Source organism: Homo sapiens, chromosome 11 (assembly GCF_000001405.40).
Source record: "Homo sapiens chromosome 11, GRCh38.p14 Primary Assembly".
Taxonomy (NCBI): Eukaryota; Metazoa; Chordata; class Mammalia; order Primates; family Hominidae; genus Homo; species Homo sapiens.
Window position 1 is genome coordinate 121,145,292 of NC_000011.10, and position 18,559 is coordinate 121,163,850.

The following is an 18,559-nucleotide window of genomic DNA, read 5'->3' on the forward strand; positions in this document are numbered from 1 at the left end:
TGAACTCCTGGGGGAAATAATGCTATGTAAACAGAAGGCACTGAAATAAATAGGTATATTAGTGTACCAAGGATAGTCATTTGCGTCTGTTCAAATCTTAATCATAATAGTTGACTGACATAAACAACAGTACATGCAAAGACTGCATTCAACCTGCTCAAACTTCCCTCTGGGACTTGTCTTTCAAGAGACTCATCGTTAGGAGAAGAGCTGGGAAATCTCTGGGCCAACTGTGTTTCTCCACCTCATCTCTCCTCTTACAGGTCAACAGTGAACGGCTCTATCTGCCCCTGAAGCTGGGGCAAGGGAAGATAAATATCTTTTCCTTTGGCTTCCACGTGGTGGTGGAAACTGATTTTGGCCTGAAGGTTGTATATGACTGGAAGACCTTCCTGTCCATCACAGTCCCTCGGAGCATGCAGAACAGCACCTATGGTCTGTGTGGCCGCTACAACGGCAACCCTGATGATGACCTGGAGATGCCCATGGGTCTGCTTGCATCGAGTGTCAATGAGTTTGGGCAGAGCTGGGTGAAGAGGGACACCTTCTGCCAGGTGGGCTGTGGGGACCGCTGTCCGTCCTGTGCCAAGGTGGAAGGTTTCTCCAAAGTGCAGCAGCTGTGCAGCCTGATCCCCAACCAGAACGCTGCCTTCTCCAAGTGTCACAGCAAAGTTAACCCCACCTTCTTCTATAAGAACTGCCTGTTTGACTCTTGCATCGATGGGGGCGCGGTGCAGACCGCCTGCAGCTGGCTGCAGAACTACGCCAGCACCTGCCAGACTCAGGGGATTACGGTGACTGGCTGGAGGAATTACACGTCCTGCAGTGAGTCCTTCTCGTTGTCCCTCCTTGTAGCTTCTCCTCTTTCTTGATTGCTCTGGGAAGGCCAGTCTTCCAACTCCCTAGAAGTCAGAGCAAATTGAGTAGCAATTTAAGGATATGCACTTTGGAACTGAGTTTGTTATCTGAATGAAGCATGACATGTAACCTCTTGGAGCCTCCATGTCCTTATTGGTAAAATGGAGTTAATATCACTTATTTCATGGGTTACCCTGAGGATGAAATAAGATCATGCATATAAATCACAGAGTATCACACATGGCACTTGGACGCACAAAGTTCACAATAGAATGCTAACGAGATTAATGAAAGAAGGATTAGTTACTAAGTTCAAGCACCTCATGGGCCCATCCTTGTGTTAATAATCCGCATGCTTTGTCTAAGCATGTTATTCTATTTGATTCATATATGTCATGTTTCAGTCTTTGTGTTTATGAAACAGAGCAGAATATTAAGAGTACATTAGAGAAGGAACTAGAGCCCCTGGATTCTAGCCTTTACTCTGTCTTTAAGGATCTGTGTGACCTTGGGGCAATTCACTTTTCCTCCCTGGTTCTCAGTTTCCCCTTCCATAAAGCAGTGGTAATGCTGCCTTTACTGTTCATGCCTCAGAAACGTAAAGGGGATCCAATTAGGTAATTGAAAGCCAGGCACACTCTGTGCATGCTAAGCGGTACTGTTATATTAATGGCTTGCTCTGAGCCAAGACCCCATGCTAAACGTTTTATCAATATACCTCATTTATTCTTCTCAATGACCCAATTAGTCAAGGAGCAACTGAGACTCAGAGGAATGAAGTAACTGCCTAAGGTCATATAATCTGAGTGGCAAAGTCAGGACTTGAGCTTCTAACCCAAAGCCCAGGCTCCCAACCCATATACTATACTGCTGGACTATGTAGTGGGGTAATTTACCTGCCTTTAGCACATAAGAATAGGAAAAACTTGTGGGGGTGGGGGGGAAACACTGTTGGTCTTTAGCTAACCTGCTTTGATCTATTTTCCTGTCTCAATCTCATTAACCATAGCATATTTCTTTAAAAAGCATATTCCTTTTAGAAGGTCTGTAGCTCTTTTAAAACTACAAATTGATCCTGAATGCATAGAGCTCTAACTAAGCGATGCAGCAGGGTCCCCAGAGAATCAACTCCCATTTTCATCTGGAAAAGGAGATTCAGATGAAAAACCAGAAACAGCATTGTGGTTCAACACTCACACAGTCAGTTTACATTCCACACAACTGGATTCACGTAGATTGTAAGGGAAGGGTGGGAGGAAGATGAAGGCGGGGAACAGATGCCATCCCATTTCATCCAGGCTCAGTCCCTGAGTGGGTGAGGCCAGGCAGGGTGGGAAATGGTGCCAGTAGGGATGACGGTCCTGACAAACCGGCCTCTAATGACTTCAATAAAATAAATATGCCTATAAAAAAGCTCGGGTCTGGATAAATCCCCAGGGCTACTCTGGATTCATTGGGGGTCATTCCAGTAGGACCAGAGAGCTTGTCTTCCTCTAAATCAGAAAACCCAGCTTTGGACGCAAAGGCCTAAACGTGGTGCAGAATGGGGAAGCTGTTTTGGAAGGGAAAGCTCTGCTGTTTCCCCTTGAGACATGTTGTGGAGACTTCCCTCTTCACCTGCAGCCATGCTGTGCTGGGTGTACTGCTCCCAGGGTGGCTGGGGTGGGGACAGGCATGCCAAAAACCAATGCTTCCAACTGCAACAAACAGGGAAATGCACACAGGGGGCTAATGCCAGGAACTCTCACCTCAATTGATGGGTCTTAATTTTTGTCACTCATGGGAAGGAAAAGAAATTGAGTCAGCAAGGCCTCACAACCTTACCCCCAAGGAATAAGGGCCCCCACTACAAAGCTTGGCTAGGGACAAAGAGTAAGAAGGTGATTTTTCTTGTCTTTCTCTCCCTTCTACCAGGAACCCTTTCCTCTCCCCTCCCAAATTTCTGTCCAAACATTGGTTGCCTCCTCTCTACCCTGGCTCACCAGTAATGGGAGCTCTACTCATGGCACCCAGAGCCGAGTCTGCCCTGCCTCATCCTCAGTCTCAGGTCCTATCCCTTGACTTCTACCAGCTTCCCACCAGCACGTTCCAGGCCAATACGCCAGGGCCAACAGGTAACTTAGAATCGTTCCCATCACAAAGAGACTTAGACCTTCCCTACCGTGGCATTTCAGGATAGGGGCAAAGATCCAAAAGTTAGAGCACCTGAGGAGATGGTGGTAATGAATGGCAAAAAGGAAAACTAAAATAGGAGAAAAAATATATGTTTTAAAGATGGTATGGGGGTCAGGCTGGGGGAGAGGGTGTGGTTGGAGGCAGCTTCCTTTTACATTTTGAATCTCAGAAGCAGAGAAAAGCTTCAGGAGACTGAGTCCTAACTCAGCCATTCGACCTGAGAATAGGGTTGTTTGTAACTGTATCTGATGTGACTCCCCATCATGTGAGGGCAGGCCCCATCTCTCTCCACCTCTCATTCTACCAAAAATTAATCCAATCTAGCAATTGCTTGATAGGAGAAATGGTGCTTTAGGAGCAAAGGGGTTAACCTAGAACTGCCCATCAAATTTGTGCTTTATTGGTAACAAGGTAGAATGCTGGTGTTTTTCAATGATCTGACTGTTTCTATCAATGGAATAATTTATTACTCAATTACCTTATTTGTAAACTCGTTGGAAAATCTTGTAACCTAAGTTGAACAAATAGGCTTACAGGGAGTAGGGAAGTTAAATTGTCTTAATTACTAGCCTCTCCTTAAAATTCATTGAGCTGAGTCTATCATTCTTTCAGTCCCTTAATCGGGGACTGTAATTAGATGGTATTAGATGGTGAGAGGAGAAAGAGAAGGAAATAAAAAAGGAATAAATGACAGTTCCTTAGCTCTCACTATGTGCCAGGTTCTAAGTGGGATCTGGGGACTCATGCATTTACTTCTCATGGCAACCCTGCCAGGTAGGTACTACTCATAGTCCCATTTTTTAGAGGAAGAAACTGAAGCTCAGAGAAATGAAGTCACTTTCCCCAGGAAGGTGGCCTGGGTAAGTTGGAAAGTGGCTCCTAAGACAGTGCTCTCCCTTCTGTGCAATGCTGCCTCTCTGAGCCTGGTCAACCAGTGCCTAACATGTGGTCAAAGTTGGTTGTCATCGTCATTTTCCCTTTTATTGGAGGCAGCTGCTGCTACTTCAGAGTGCTGGGTCCAAAGTCTGGTAACTAGGATTTGTCTTACATATTTCTCCATACATCTAATAAATTCCTGTTGAATAATTGTTTTAAAAAATCCTTCTGTGACTACAACTATTACTACTGTGAATTGCAGAAGTTATTATAGAAGTACCAGGCACTATATCAGGAGCTTTACGAATTATATCTCATTTTATTTTGATAACTACTTGATGAGGGAGATATTATGATCCCAATTTTATAGATGAGAAAACAGAGGTTTAGAGAGAGTAAGTAACCTGTCCATAGTGACACTGCTTAATGGCAGAGCGAGGCCTCAAATCCAGGTTGGTCTGATTCCAAAGCCCCTGTCCATTCTGTTGAGCTGAATTGCTTTTTAGGGGCTCCATTCATCCTGTCTACCAAGGCACAGATGCTGGGTATGGCAAGAGACAGATTCTTGACCACGGTACAAATCCAGGTGCAGAGCCCAGGTCATCACGCCACAGCTCTCAGTACATCATTTGGTGGGGAGCGAGAAGCAGCGGATCAGTTCTAGGAATCTGAAAGTTTGTTTTCCAAGAATCAGGTGTTTCTTAGCCATCTGTCATGTTCTCAGCACTGTTTTGGGTGGCATGGAAGAATCAGAGTGTGAAACGTGGTGTTTATCATCTAGTTGGAGAAATAGACCCATGTGAAATACTTAAAGAACAAACATCTCTAAATTGGTAATACCTCTTCCCAAATGTTACAATGTATCGCAGACCTTCAGTCACTGTTAACACTGGCATATGAACAAGTTAAACAAATAAATAATAAAAATAAAACAAGTGAATACTGGCCCATGAACAGAAAGACCAACCAACGGAAAGAAGAGAAAGTTCAGAAACAGGCCCAAACACTAAAGAGAAATTAGCGTATGGTAAAGCTGGCATTTCAAATTACTGGGAAAACATATTTGTTATTCAGTAAGTAGTAAAAGGTCAAAGGGCAAACTAGCTGGGAAAAGCTAAATCCTTCCTTCATTTCTTACTCCGAAATAAAATCCGGGCAGAACAAAGATTAAACAGAAAAAAATTAAATCACAAAAATACTAGAAGAAAACAAAGGAGCGTTCTTGATAATCTTGCAGTGGAGAGAACATTTCAGAACAAATTATCCAAGGCTAAAAGGGAAACTTGACAAATTTCATTACATTAAAAATTTTACATCTTTACATGGCAAAGAGATAACAACTTCAAAAAAAGTTAAAAAATTATTTAAAAATGAATACAAAGTCAAAAGGCAAATGATAAATATTTTGTAACACATATGACATACCACAAAGGCCTATTTTAATTTTTTTTTTTTTTTTTTTTTGAGATGGAGTCTTTCTCTGTCACCAGGCTGGAGTGCAGTGGCACGATCTCAGCTCACTGCAACCACCGCCTCCTGGGTTCAAGCAATTCTCCTGCCTCAGCCTCCCAAGTAGCTGGGACTAAAGGCGCATGCCACCATGCCTGGCTAATTTTTGTATTTTTAGTAGAGACAGGGTTTCACCATGTTGGCCAGGATGGTCTCGATCTCTTGACCTCATGATCCACCTGCCTCGGCCTCCCAAAGTGCTGGGATTACAGGCGTGAGCCACTGTGCCTGGCCAGGCCTATTTTAATTTTTAAAGAACTTTTATAATTTAATAATAAAAATTTCAACAACATGAAATGTGAAAAGGATATGAAAAGGCAGTTAACAAAAAAAGACATATAAATGGATTATAAACAAATGAGAACAAGAGGATCAACCTCACAAAGAAATGCAAACTAAATAAGGAGATGGCACATATCGCATTTTAACCTTGTTTCCAAGGATCAGACAATTTGGTGATAAGACAATCAAGGAGAGTGTGGGAAAACAAACCTCCTCCAATAGCGCAGGTAGGAAGACAAATTGGCACAGTCTCTTTAGAAGCAACTTAGCGGCATTCATACCATTTCACCCAGTAATTCCACTTTCAGTAATTTATTCCACAGATGCCCTTACTCATGAGGGCAAAGGTATACATACAGGGATGTTCACTGCAGCATCAGCATAAACACATAAAGTACACACAGCATGCAGCAGTGCAAAAGCAATAATTTGAGGCTAAATGGAATGAATATTGTCATAAAGAAAGCAATGAGCAGAAATGTGTATATATTATGCTCCCATTTATGCAAAAAATAATGGACAAGGCATACATGTATGCTTATGTGCATACACACACACACAGATGGGTGCTTGTATATGCATAGAACACTTCTGGAAAAATTGACTATAGTTTGCTATCGGAGGTTGCCATTTCATCACGCTTTTTCTTGTATGGTTTGGATTTTCTACACTATGCAAGTATTATGTATTAAACTACAAATGTTTTTTAAAAACATGGTATATTGTGAGAGTGGTTATATGAATCAATACATGTGTTAAAATTCATAGAACTGTGTACTCTAAAAGTAGGTGTTACCGCTATATAATTTAAAAAATGAAATAACCCCCCATATAGATACTGTATAGGGTATAGGGTAGAAGTTCCCACATAATGGTAGCTGTGCTTTTAGTATACGTTGATTGAGATAATAGCTTCTACGAAACTTTTTAAGCAAACCTATCTTTAATGATTGACTAATACTGAACACTTACATGCCAACCACTGTTCTGAGCACACAGACTCACTTAATCCTTTGCAATCAGCCATGAAGTGAATGCTATTGGTATCTGTATTTATAGATAAGAAAGCTGAAGCTCAGAGAGCCCGAGTGACGCTCTGGGTCTCTTATAGCTGGTTCCAGAGCCCACACCCTTCACCAGGACCCTACCTGCCTTCTATAGAAGCATCTAGATGCATTTGAAAAATGGCAGAACATAATTGACGTGAATCAGTTTGCACAGACATGTGCACGTGCACACACCCATGCATGCCAGCACGTGTACTCATGCACACAAACACACACGGTGTACATTTGCCTTCTCAGAGATCATGGGGCTGAGGCATCTACTGATGATAAGCTGCTGGCTTAGAAAAACGTTCTGTAGAAGCTCTGGGGTGTAGAGGAGCTGACATTGGTCGAAGAGGGAGAACTACATGGGTAAGGTGGGACTCCCACTGGCACTTGAAGAACCAGGAATTTGGATAGGCTGAGAGGATGAAGAAGGGCATGAATAAGAAAGATCAATGTGAATGAAGACCTAGAGGCAGGAGGAGTGTGGGTGCCCTGGGAGGTTATCAGGTGACATGTCTAACTGGAGATTCAGATGGGCGGTGGGTTCAGGTGGCAGGCCATAGAGGATCTCAATGGCCAGGCTGAGGTGAGGACGACCATGATGTGAGAAGCTCCAGCCACCTCCGTCTGCATGTTGGCCCTTTATTTAAGCAGGAACGAATCAGACCCAGGCTTTCTGTGAGCAAAGAGGGCAGTAATGAAGAAAGGCGGCAGACCTCCTGGCTCCTGCCTCTCCCCGTGCCTTTCATCTCCCTGAGTAGGTGAGCAATGGCCATGAGAAAACCCTCCTCGGTGCCTTGTGATCGTGCGAGTCTTGACTTGTCTCTCTTGTTCCAGCTGTCACCTGCCCTCCAAACAGCCATTACGAGAGCTGCGTGAGTGTCTGCCAGCCCCGCTGCGCCGCCATCCGCCTGAAGAGTGACTGCAGCCACTACTGCGTGGAGGGCTGTCACTGCGACGCTGGCTACGTCCTCAACGGCAAGAGCTGCATCCTGCCCCACAGCTGCGGCTGCTACTCCGATGGCAAATATTACGAGGTATGGGAGGCCAGCCCGGCCTTTTCCTCCTTGCCAATGATCAGATTCCTCTCCAACTCTAAGAGGTTGGTCAGATTGACCAATTTTCCCACTTCATTATGAAGAGCGTCGTGTTCGTGGCAGGGGAATGGGATGGGGGGTAGAGAGGCTAAGCACACTGTTCAGGTGATGCTCTTGGGCACTGAGTGTCAGATTTGGAAAAACACCTGAGTGTCTCCTTCCTCCCTCCTCCACAGTGGCAAGGTCTCCAGCACTCTGCCTCCCCTACTCACTCACATTTGTGTGTCTGTGTCGTGCCTTTCTCTGATTTTCTGTCCTGTGAATCTCAGTTTGAAAGCTTCAGATAGAGCTATAGTTTGGATACACGGTGGCTGTGAATCTGATATTTGTAGCTGTCTTAGCTAAGGACATTTGTAACTGGAAAATATGGAGCTGGAGGCTGAGTGGGGCGGACTTCCCTCTTCTGTCTGTTGAGGCTCCGTGAGGGTAGCTGTGGCTGCCATCTCCACGTGTGCCATTTGTCACTGTGGTATCATCCCTGGAGTTTGGTCTGGACTGCTAATGTGGTGCCCCCACATCCCACCCTCTGCGGCGCCCTCTACAGGAGTTTAAACATAGAGTTCATGAAGATGCCCTTCGTAGATGTTTCTCAATAAAGCATATTAGTTCACGAAATCATTTCACTTTTTGGACTTTGTAATCTTTCCATAATACTAAGCTAGAATTCCATAATACTAAGCTAGAAAAGCTCTTGCCTAGACAAGGTATTTAGTTCATGGTTCGACCTCAAGCCCATTCTCTGTTTAAATGATATCAAAACCATATGTTGGCAAGTTAGATGGTTAACAACTACAGATAATTGAGTATCTGCTGTTTGCAAAGCACTGTGCTGGTGGTATTGTGGGGGATGAGAAAGCACGTCCTCTGCCTTGAGGATCTTAAAAATCTATTCAGAAGAGAGAAACAATGTACTTTAAAGAACAAGAGATCAGTTACAAAATAACCTATCAGCAAGTGAAAAATAATACCCTACAGAACTAATCAATTTTAAGTGAAAAAGAATAGTAGCTTTAAAATAAATCTAATTGAAATGTCTGAATTGGAAATCAGCTAGGCGAAAAATAAATAATATCTCCTTTTTGTAAAGATACATTGACTCATTCAAGTTGCCCTAACTTCGGGGATAAATAAAAGAAATGTGGACATTACCCTCAATTTCACTTTCAGTGGAGAATTTATTTAAATGCTATATTAGAAAGACAGGGAGGAAGTAAGGTAAAATAGTGAAACTAATCAAAGGAGACTTTTTGGGAAAGGGGGTGTTGAAATGAGCTCTTAGAAATGTTATTTGAAAGGAAAAGGCAGAACATGTGGAAAAAATTAATGAATTCTGTTTTCTCACAATTGAGGAGAAGATATAACCAGGCTCAAAACTCAAAAAGCACTCTCTAAACTGTGTTCCCCAGCCCGGAGACTTACCAAAACCTATCCATTTCTCAACTGTGCCATGCACCCTCGGCAGGCATCCTGAGTGTCAGTGTGGCATAATTCAATGAAACCTGGGTTCCATCCTAGCGGTACCACTGCTGGAGGTGTGACACTGAGCAAACGCTGTCATTTCTCTGAGCATCTGTTTCCCTGTGAATGAGATGTGACTAATGATACCAACACAGTAGGGCTGTTGCATAAATAATCTATGCTGGGTTCCTAGCCTAGTGCCTGGCATCGAGTCCTTCAATAATTGGTAGCTGCTATTGTTATTGTTGTTTTGTTATTCTCTTGAGAAACATTTTGTAAACGAAAAATCCAGCCGTGTTAATGAAAGGATGCAAAGAAAAGCCCTTGGAACTCTCAGGAAAAGCATGGTCAGCTCTTGGCTGCTATTAGTACTACAGTGCAAACATTATGAGCAGTTTTTCATCAGAACCTCAGTGGATTTTGACAACAGCTTACATCCGGGAAGCAGCAAACTCAGAGAACAAAGAATCCACATCTACTTGCCACCATTCCAAAGTGCCTGGGGACTTGTTCATAGAACAAATTTCTTCGGAAATGAATAGAGAATACGCCTGGCTATTAGCATGTAGAGTGATCACCCAGCTGTCATTGTCATGTATGATTCAAGTAAAGAAAGCAGCGTTGGGCCAGCCATTTTACCGTGATGCTAGTTTCAGGATCAGATTCTCTTGTGGATGAGTTATTTACCCTTTATCGTATCCACATACATCAAGTTATTTTTCTCTTTTCACCACTGTAATGTCTGACTTCTTATCAGAGAGAGGCCAAACCATCCACTCAGTTATTCTATAAATCTGATAAGAGAAATGAAGTCAATTTGTGAGGCTGTTGGCACCCAGAATATGTTACATAAGTCTGGAAGGAGAGTAGACTTAGTTCCAGGAATGACTTCACTTTGAAGATGAAAGAATCAGCAATAGCATCTTGAAGTGCACTGCAATCAGGAAACTTGTTCTGGAAGATCTCCTCCTCTATCTATTTACCCTTGAATCTGAGTCATATCTGTAGTTGATATCCAGGGTTTTGATGTCTCTAGTTAAAGCAGAAAACTGACCAGACAGAAGCATAGGCCTTTTTGTGCTATTGAAAGATCTTTTCTGGATAACGCTATTTTGGTAAGTCGATAATGCATTGAGTGCCCACATCTCTATGACACAGTCTATTTATTGGTACCACATCCCACTTGGACAATCATGACCAATTTCCAACAGTTTCCTGGAATTCTTAGTCTAGAGCAAGTGCAACATCAAGAATGCAAACCCTACCAAGCAGAGTCGTGCCTGCAGATTGCTGCCTGTTTTGGGAAAAAGTAGAAAATAACATTCTAGTTGTGGGACTCCTGGGAAAGAAATGAAAAGAAAAGAATAGCTGCCTCCAGTTGAGGATACGCTATGTTGTAGGTATTTTATATAATGTTGTATAATTTCTTCACCATCTGAAAGAGGATGAGCCATTCTACTCCTGTAATAGCAGCTTCTATTTCTTGAGTGCCTATCCTATGCCGGAAGTGTGTTTTATACATCTTATTTAATTTAATCCTCACAACTGCCCTGTAAGACATTATTTTTAATTTAATTTTATTATTATTACTTCTGAGACAGGGTCTCACTCTGTTGCCCAGGCTGAAGTGCAGCAGCAGGATCACAACTCACTGCAGCCTCTACCTCACAGGCTTAAGCGGTCCTCCCACCTCAGCCTCTGGAGTAGCTGGGACTACAGGCATGCACTACCATGCTGGTTGTTATTATTATTATTATTATTTTGAGACAGAGTTTTGCTCTGTCACCCAGGCTGGAGTGTAATGGCACGATCTAGGCTCACGGCAACCTCTGCCTCCCAGGTTCAAACGATTCTCCTGCCTCAGCCTACCGAGTGGCTGGGACTATAGACATGTGCCACCATGCCTGGCGAGTTTTTGTATTTTTAGTAGAGTTGGGGTTTCACCATGTTGGCCAGGCTCCTCTCAAACTCCTGACCTCCGGTGATCCACCCACCTCAGCCTCCCAAAGTGCTGGGATTACAGGCATGAGTCACTGCACCTGGCCTATTATTATTATTATTTTTATTATTATTTGAAGTAGAGATGAGGTTTCACTGTGTTGCTCAGGCTTATCTGAAACCCCTGGGCTCAAGCAGTCCTTCCACCTCAACCTCCCAAAGTGCTGGGATTACAGGCATGAGCCACTGCACTCAACCACAAGATATTATTAATATCTCCAATTTAGAAATGAGCAAAGTGACACTGGGGAGGTGAGTAACGCTACTCAAGATGGCACAGGTGGGGATACAGGACTAGATTGAAACCCAGGTGGTCTGATCCCAAAACGTTCCTTTCATGGACCCCAGGTGTTCTTTGGATCTTTCACATTCAGGACACGTGGGAATGAAGGTACTTCCATCAGAAGTAAATTGGAAGCAGACTAGACACAAGGAAGGGTGAGGATTGTGAAATGTGAAATGGTTAATCAGAAGTGTTGGTCATTGCTTTCTTACGACTGTTTAAGATTTGAAGGGCCAATTTATCATTCTTGAGTGAATTTTAATTTCATCTTTGAAGCAGAGTCTGTACTTGTTAGAAGTGTGATTCCTTGATGAATATTTTCTACCAAATATTCTTCCTCTTTACCTAGTTCCTCTAACAGCTGCACATTCAGGTTGACTGTGATTAGTTCTACAATCCAGCCACAAAGATTTCAGAGTTCTTGATTAAAATCAATCAAGTTATGGCCGGGGTGGTGGCTCATACCCGTAATCCAAGCAGTTTGGGAGGCTGAGGCAGGAGGATCACTCGAGCCTAGCAGTTCAAGAACATAGTGAGACTCCGTCTCTACAAAAAATACAAAAATTAGCTGGGTGTGGTGGCGTGTGCTTATAGTTCCAGCTACTAGGGAGGCTGAGATAGGAGAATCGCTTGAGTCCAGGCGTTCCGGGTTACTTACAGTGATCTGCGATTGCACTACTGCACTCCAGCCTCGGCAACAGAATGAGACCCTGTCTCTAAAAATAAATTAATAAGTAAGTAAATAAATGCGTGTCAAAACTGCGTATTGTTTGGCGTCTGAGTTGCATGGAACTGATGGAGCATTTGAGTTGAGGCCGTTTCCCCACTGCTGCCTCCTACAAATTCCAGCCCCATTAAAGATAGGCTAGCCAAGCCTGATAAAAGACGAGGGGGACTGGGCTTTCGGGTCCCCAGCCCTGACCACAGTCTGAATTTAATGCAAACGGCGCCTCTCTTCCAGCCCAAGCAGCTATTTTGGAACAGCGACTGCACGCGGCGCTGCCGCTGTTTCCGTCGCAACGTGATTCAGTGCGACCCGCGCCAATGCAAGTCAGACGAGGAGTGTGCGCTGCGCAACGGGGTGCGCGGCTGCTTCAGCACCAAGACCTCCTACTGCCTGGCGGCCGGCGGCGGCGTCTTCCGCACCTTCGACGGCGCCTTCCTGCGCTTCCCAGCCAACTGCGCCTTCGTGCTGTCCACCATCTGCCAGAAACTGCCCGACATCTCCTTCCAGCTTATCATCAACTTCGACAAGTGGTCGGCCCCCAACCTCACCATCATTTCGCCCGTCTACTTCTACATTAACGAAGAGCAGATTCTCATCAACGACCGGAACACGGTCAAGGTAACCAGCCTGGCGGCCATTCTTAAGAAGGGGCCCGGAAACAAGGGGTTGGCTAGGGGACTGTGTAGGGTTCTCCCAGATAGCCAAGTTGTAGGATAGATTGTTGCTTCATGGTGTTCCACACACAGTGACCAGGTTTTAAAGAATCAAAGTATGAAGATGTTTTAAGCCTGAGAATGGACACCATTTGGTTCTTGGCTGATGATTCCAAAGGCAGGAGACTTGCAGGGTCTCAGAACCAGGCAATGGCATGGGCGCTAATAGAGCTTCAGGTGATAAATTGTTAGATAAATCAGTTTTTACCCTGATTGCTTTCCAAAAAGCATCTCATTTGTTTTTAACAGCCCTTAAGATTATTCTTGGCTCTGCCCTCTTGTAGTAAGACCCACCCTTCATCTTTGCCATCCTTTCTATAAGCTAAGGGAAAGCAAGCACTTGCCTAAAAAACACCAATCTGAGTAAAAACCTGACTCACACCCCCATTATCCGAGGGCCCCGTGATGACATGCTGAGGGGCAGGAAATGGGAGGCTGCTCTTGGTGGATTTCTCTTAGGTTGGCTCCTCCTTAGGCCCATTGCCTGGTTTCTTGTTTATCTTACACCTGTGTGTAAATAAATGTAAACCCCCCACCCATCCTCACAACAAATATGGCTCTCCGACTTGAATTCCTCCCACCCCTTCCATTTAAGAAGAGCATCTGCTCAGATGCACTGTTGACGGTGACCCAGCCTCTCAGCTAGAGCAGGCTGCTGTGGCAGGTCACTCGGAAGGATGGAGCCAGGCCCTGGCACTGTGAGCACAGAGAGGCAGGGACCCGGAGACAGCCACATTAACAATTTTTGGAATTGAGTGTTATTGTGTGTATCTGTTTTCCACCTGCTCAGATAATCAGGCCTTGAGTGTATCTTTAATTGAAGAGTCATCAAATAGCGTATCCAGCATCAGGCAAAAGAGCAGCAGTATTTTGTGAGCTTAAAATGAAGAATCTGAAATTTAATACCGGTTTTAACTTCAATGAAAGGTGCCACTGTTTTTAACATTCTCATTCCTTTCACAAATTGGCCCACATCAACACGACAGCCTTGGTCCAGAATCCAGGAGCTAGAAAACAAAAATGACCACCCAAGAGAGCAAAACTGACATTGTGGTTGAACAAAATACCCCAAGCTAGTCAAAACAGTAGAGACTCATTTTTGAAAAAGGTGCCTACTTTTTCATTTATTTTAAGGTATAAAAGCTACTAATAGCCTGGGGAGAATAGTTTTATTTTGTAAGTACAGGAAAAGCAAGTTATATTCTGTCCCAAGGGCTAAGGAAAGAAAATGTTAGAAAGCAGAAAAATGACAAATGCAGAAAATAATGTGTGTATAGGTCCTCTGGGGGGACCTCCAGTTTGAACATTATAAGCAAGAAAACGATAAATATGGCAATGATGCCCAGATCCATATTAACTGTGTTAGACTCTCCTTGGCACAGGATTGGGATTTCATTTTCAGTCATTGGTTTATGCTGGGGAAAGTTTTAGACACAAATCCAGCCATTCATTGTGGGTTATACTTTTCTAAGGTTTCCTTATCTCTCACCTCCTCTCCCCTACTTCTGCTCCATAGTTTGCTTCCTTTGGGGCAACTACACAGTAAGATGAGTGAATGCCTTTAAACTCTAGGGCAGGGGCCAGCAAATCTGCTTGCTGCCTGTTTGTGTAAATAAAGCTTTGCTGGAACACAGCCACACTCATTTAGTTGTATATTGTCTATGCCTGCTGTCATGCTGCAGGGACAGAATGGAGTCGTTGAGACAGAGATCACAGGGCCTGCGACACCCAAAATATTTTCCCTGGCCCTTTCCTGAACAAGTTTGCCAACACCTACTCTAAGCGTAATTATTTTCTTTTTTCCTCCTCCAATAGGTGAATGGCACACAAGTGAATGTTCCATTTATAACTGGTTTGGCAACCAAAATCTACAGCAGTGAGGGGTTTCTGGTGATTGACACCAGCCCAGACATCCAGATATACTACAATGGTTTCAACGTCATTAAAATCAGCATCAGCGAGAGGCTGCAGAACAAAGTGTGCGGTCTCTGTGGCAACTTCAACGGGGACCTAACAGATGATTATGTGACCTTGCGAGGGAAGCCGGTGGTAAGCAGCGTGGTGCTGGCCCAGAGCTGGAAAACCAATGGCATGCAGAAGAGGTGAGGGTGTAGGAGTTCAAGCCACTAGACTTGGTGGCCCAAGTTCTCTCACGTCCATGGGTGGTGTGAATGAGGAATGCCTTTTCCTTAGCACTGCCCCTGCTCTCCTACAGAGACGAGCCAAAGCTCTTTGGAGTTTTGATGCTAAAAATAGGCACATCAGAGACCCCAGTAATTTCGTGAACTGCAGAGGAAGGAGTTGGGCTTAGATGATATAACTCTAATTTTCATGTCATCCAGCCCTTGGCTAAACAGAAGAGTGTGCCCAGGATGAGAACTCTGAGGCCTTGACCAGCTGCCCACATGGGACCTAGGCACCTCTGCTGGGTGTGGAATTAAGAGGTGACTGAGAAGAAGAAGGGCTATCTTTGACTCCCTTAATGCTGGGTCTAATTGTGTGTCCTTGCCTCTTACAAGAAGGCTTGCTGTGGTTGTGTAGGCAGAAGTTGGTGGGAATCAGGAAAGCCTTTTTTAAAAACAGAAGTTACAAGGTTATTATCAGGCCCACCCCTGGCCAGCAGAGAGAGAGTGAGCTAAAGAAGTTATTCCAAAGGTTTTAAATTTAGGGCCCCTCAGGGCTGCTGAATATGTGGATACCTTTCTGGATCTGTAGACATGCTTCTCTTTCTTGTTAGTTCTCCACTTGTACAATGGCTCAATCACATTGCTTTACAGCTAAATATCAGCTAAATCCCCAGTCCTGGAAATCACACTTTAAGCCTCTTTGACTCTGCCCCAAGTGGACACTGAACAATGTATCATATATTAGACTATCCTGTGAATTATGGGACTCAGAGCTGTGAAAATTCTTGGGCAATATCTTGTCCAATCTCTTCCTTTCCTAGGTAAAACAGAGACTAAGACAGTGAATGACTTACATGAGGAGGCCCCATATATGGCAAAGCCAGGACTAGATTCTAGGATTCCTAATTTGGTGCTTACTCTAGAATACCATGCATCGACCTACAGATAGAAAAGAGAGAACTTTGGACATTACATTTAGAACACTACATTAAGCCATTGTAGTGTTTCCAAAGATAGGCAAGGTTCAGTTCCTCCTGAGGAATTATGATTCTGTTTGGATTTGGCCGGCCTGCCTCCCTCCCTCCTTCCCTCCCTCCTTCCCTTCCCTTCCCTTCCCTTCCCTCCCCTTCCTTTTTAAATAAACTATTATCAACTGGACACCAACTTTCTTGTAATGTTTAGCTTTTGGCCCCTAATGGCTAAAGTGGAACTGGCTTAGAAACCTTCCTTTCAAATCTTTAATTCCACGAGGTATCATTACTATTATCATTGTTATTGGTTATATCAATACCTGTTAATGGTTATTATATCAATCATATCAATCAATTATGTCAAAGTGTTCATGCTTACTATATCAATATCGGCCTTTCATGTGGCACTTTGGCCATTAATCCATCATTCCATTTTACCCTCACTGTATTTCAGTGATATAAACAACAGGAATTACCGTTTTACTTTCTTAGATGGATAGAATAGAGACTAGCAGTATCTTACTTGCCAAAGGTCACAAAGCTAGTGTTGGAATTGGCACAATGCACTAGCTTCAGGGGTAGCAAAACAGGTACAGATGCAATTTACCTTCCATTGGAGATCTCAGATGGCTGTTTTTGCTTCACTCAGTCTGACCAGACCTCTTGCCCCCAGCTGCAACGAGCTGCAGTTCTCACAGTATGCAGCCATGTGTGACAATGTGCACATCCAGAAGATGCAGGGTGATGGCTACTGCCTGAAGCTCACCGACATGAAGGGCTTCTTCCAGCCCTGCTATGGGCTTCTCGATCCCCTCCCATTCTACGAGTCCTGCTACCTGGACGGCTGCTACAGCCACAAGAAGTTCCAGCTGTGCGGCTCCCTGGCCGCCTACGGGGAGGCCTGCCGCTCCTTCGGGATCCTTAGCACCGAGTGGATTGAGAAGGAGAATTGCTGTAAGAGAATTATTTTATTTCTGTGAATTCCATTTTCAGTGAAAAGAACAGCTTTGCTGGTAGCATTGCTTTTTCTAGGGATGACTGGTCCTCTCCAGATTTACTCATAGATCTGCTTCCAGGATTGGATAGTAGAGAGCTGTGAGCTGCAGCCGAGATTCAGTGACGGGCCCCTCCCGTGGAGCCTAACCCACCTACGGCTCCTGTCCAGTTATGGGATTTGGAAAACAAACGTGGGAAGATGGGGCTCTCTGGGTTGGAAGAGCCCTGGTTAGTGGCTTATGAGGTAGAGGGACACAGTGTGGGATTCCTGATGGATTTTAGTTCCCAAACTCAGCTCCACCTTGGCTCCTTTAACATGAGGCCGTCCTCTATCAGAAAGCGAAGGCACAGGGCAGGTGGAAGGCAGAGCGGGAACTGAGCTGGTTATGTCCACCTGGGCTCAAAGGAAGCTGCAGTTCGATTGACTGTGGAGAGTACATATATTAGATCAGCTGGTAAAATAAAGATATACAGAATCTTGTGGGGTTTTTTCTGTAGTAAGAAAATTATTTTGATGTGTATTTCTATTATTCAATTTGTTCATTTTCTTACTGTGTTAATCAAATAGGAGAACAATTATAGATGTATACAAACACATATAAATGTGCCATAGACATACATGTGTGTCCATATACATAAATGGTCACTCTCACTAGTGTGGCCAATGGAATGTGTGTTTTGTTCTCTGACCCACAACACCAACCCAGTGTGTATACAGGTACCACTGTGAAAATAGGCTGACTCCAAGATGATACACACACATTGGTAAATTCGCAGACCAAACCTGATTAAGTGTAGGAATACACTTAATTCAGAGCCTAAAAACAATGCAGTTAATTAAAATACATTTCAGTGATTTCAGAAACTGTTAACAAGCAAATTCCTAGTCTCTGTTGGAAACTAACAGAAATATTTGTTATTAGTATTTTACTCTGCTGTGTTAATAAGAATACTCATGTTCTCACTCATAGGTGGGAATTGAACAGTGAGAACACATGGACACAGGAAGGAGAACATCACACTCTGGGGACTGTTGTGGGGTGGGGGGAGGGTGGAGGGATAGCATTAGGAGATATACCTAATGCTAAATGACGAGTTAATGGGTGCAGCACACCAGCATGGCACATGTATACATATGTAACTAACCTGCACATTGTGCACATGTACCCTAAAACTTAAAGTATAATAATAATAAGAAGAAGAATAAGAATACTTTCAATGACTTTAAAAATTAACTGTTTTGAACTTTTCAAATTGTCAGGAATTTAAAAAAATACATATATCATTAAAAAATACTCAAAGCTTCCCTCTATCTAAGGGCATGTCTTATTTGCCAGTTGGCAGATGGACCACCACGTTTGTAAATAAACGTGTCCTTCCTGTGGGCTGTAACCTCTGCACCATCTTTCTGTTGTTTGTCATTCTCGTACAGAGGTGG

General features: G+C 43.8%; 2 protein-coding genes across 2 annotated transcripts in view; both read left to right on the plus strand.

The window, feature by feature from the left end:
* The window catches only part of TBCEL-TECTA (TBCEL-TECTA readthrough), a 167,389-nt gene that overhangs the window by 121,190 nt on the left and 27,640 nt on the right, over window positions 1-18,559 (plus strand). The window contains exons 18-22 of the mRNA NM_001378761.1: window positions 264-825; window positions 7,590-7,789; window positions 12,550-12,933; window positions 14,844-15,130; window positions 16,799-17,079. Of these exons, the coding sequence (NP_001365690.1) occupies window positions 264-825; window positions 7,590-7,789; window positions 12,550-12,933; window positions 14,844-15,130; window positions 16,799-17,079 (1,714 nt within the window). The remainder of the gene's footprint in view (window positions 1-263; window positions 826-7,589; window positions 7,790-12,549; window positions 12,934-14,843; window positions 15,131-16,798; window positions 17,080-18,559) is intronic.
* The window catches only part of TECTA (tectorin alpha), a 90,248-nt gene that overhangs the window by 44,049 nt on the left and 27,640 nt on the right, over window positions 1-18,559 (plus strand). The window contains exons 12-16 of the mRNA NM_005422.4: window positions 264-825; window positions 7,590-7,789; window positions 12,550-12,933; window positions 14,844-15,130; window positions 16,784-17,079. Of these exons, the coding sequence (NP_005413.2) occupies window positions 264-825; window positions 7,590-7,789; window positions 12,550-12,933; window positions 14,844-15,130; window positions 16,784-17,079 (1,729 nt within the window). The remainder of the gene's footprint in view (window positions 1-263; window positions 826-7,589; window positions 7,790-12,549; window positions 12,934-14,843; window positions 15,131-16,783; window positions 17,080-18,559) is intronic.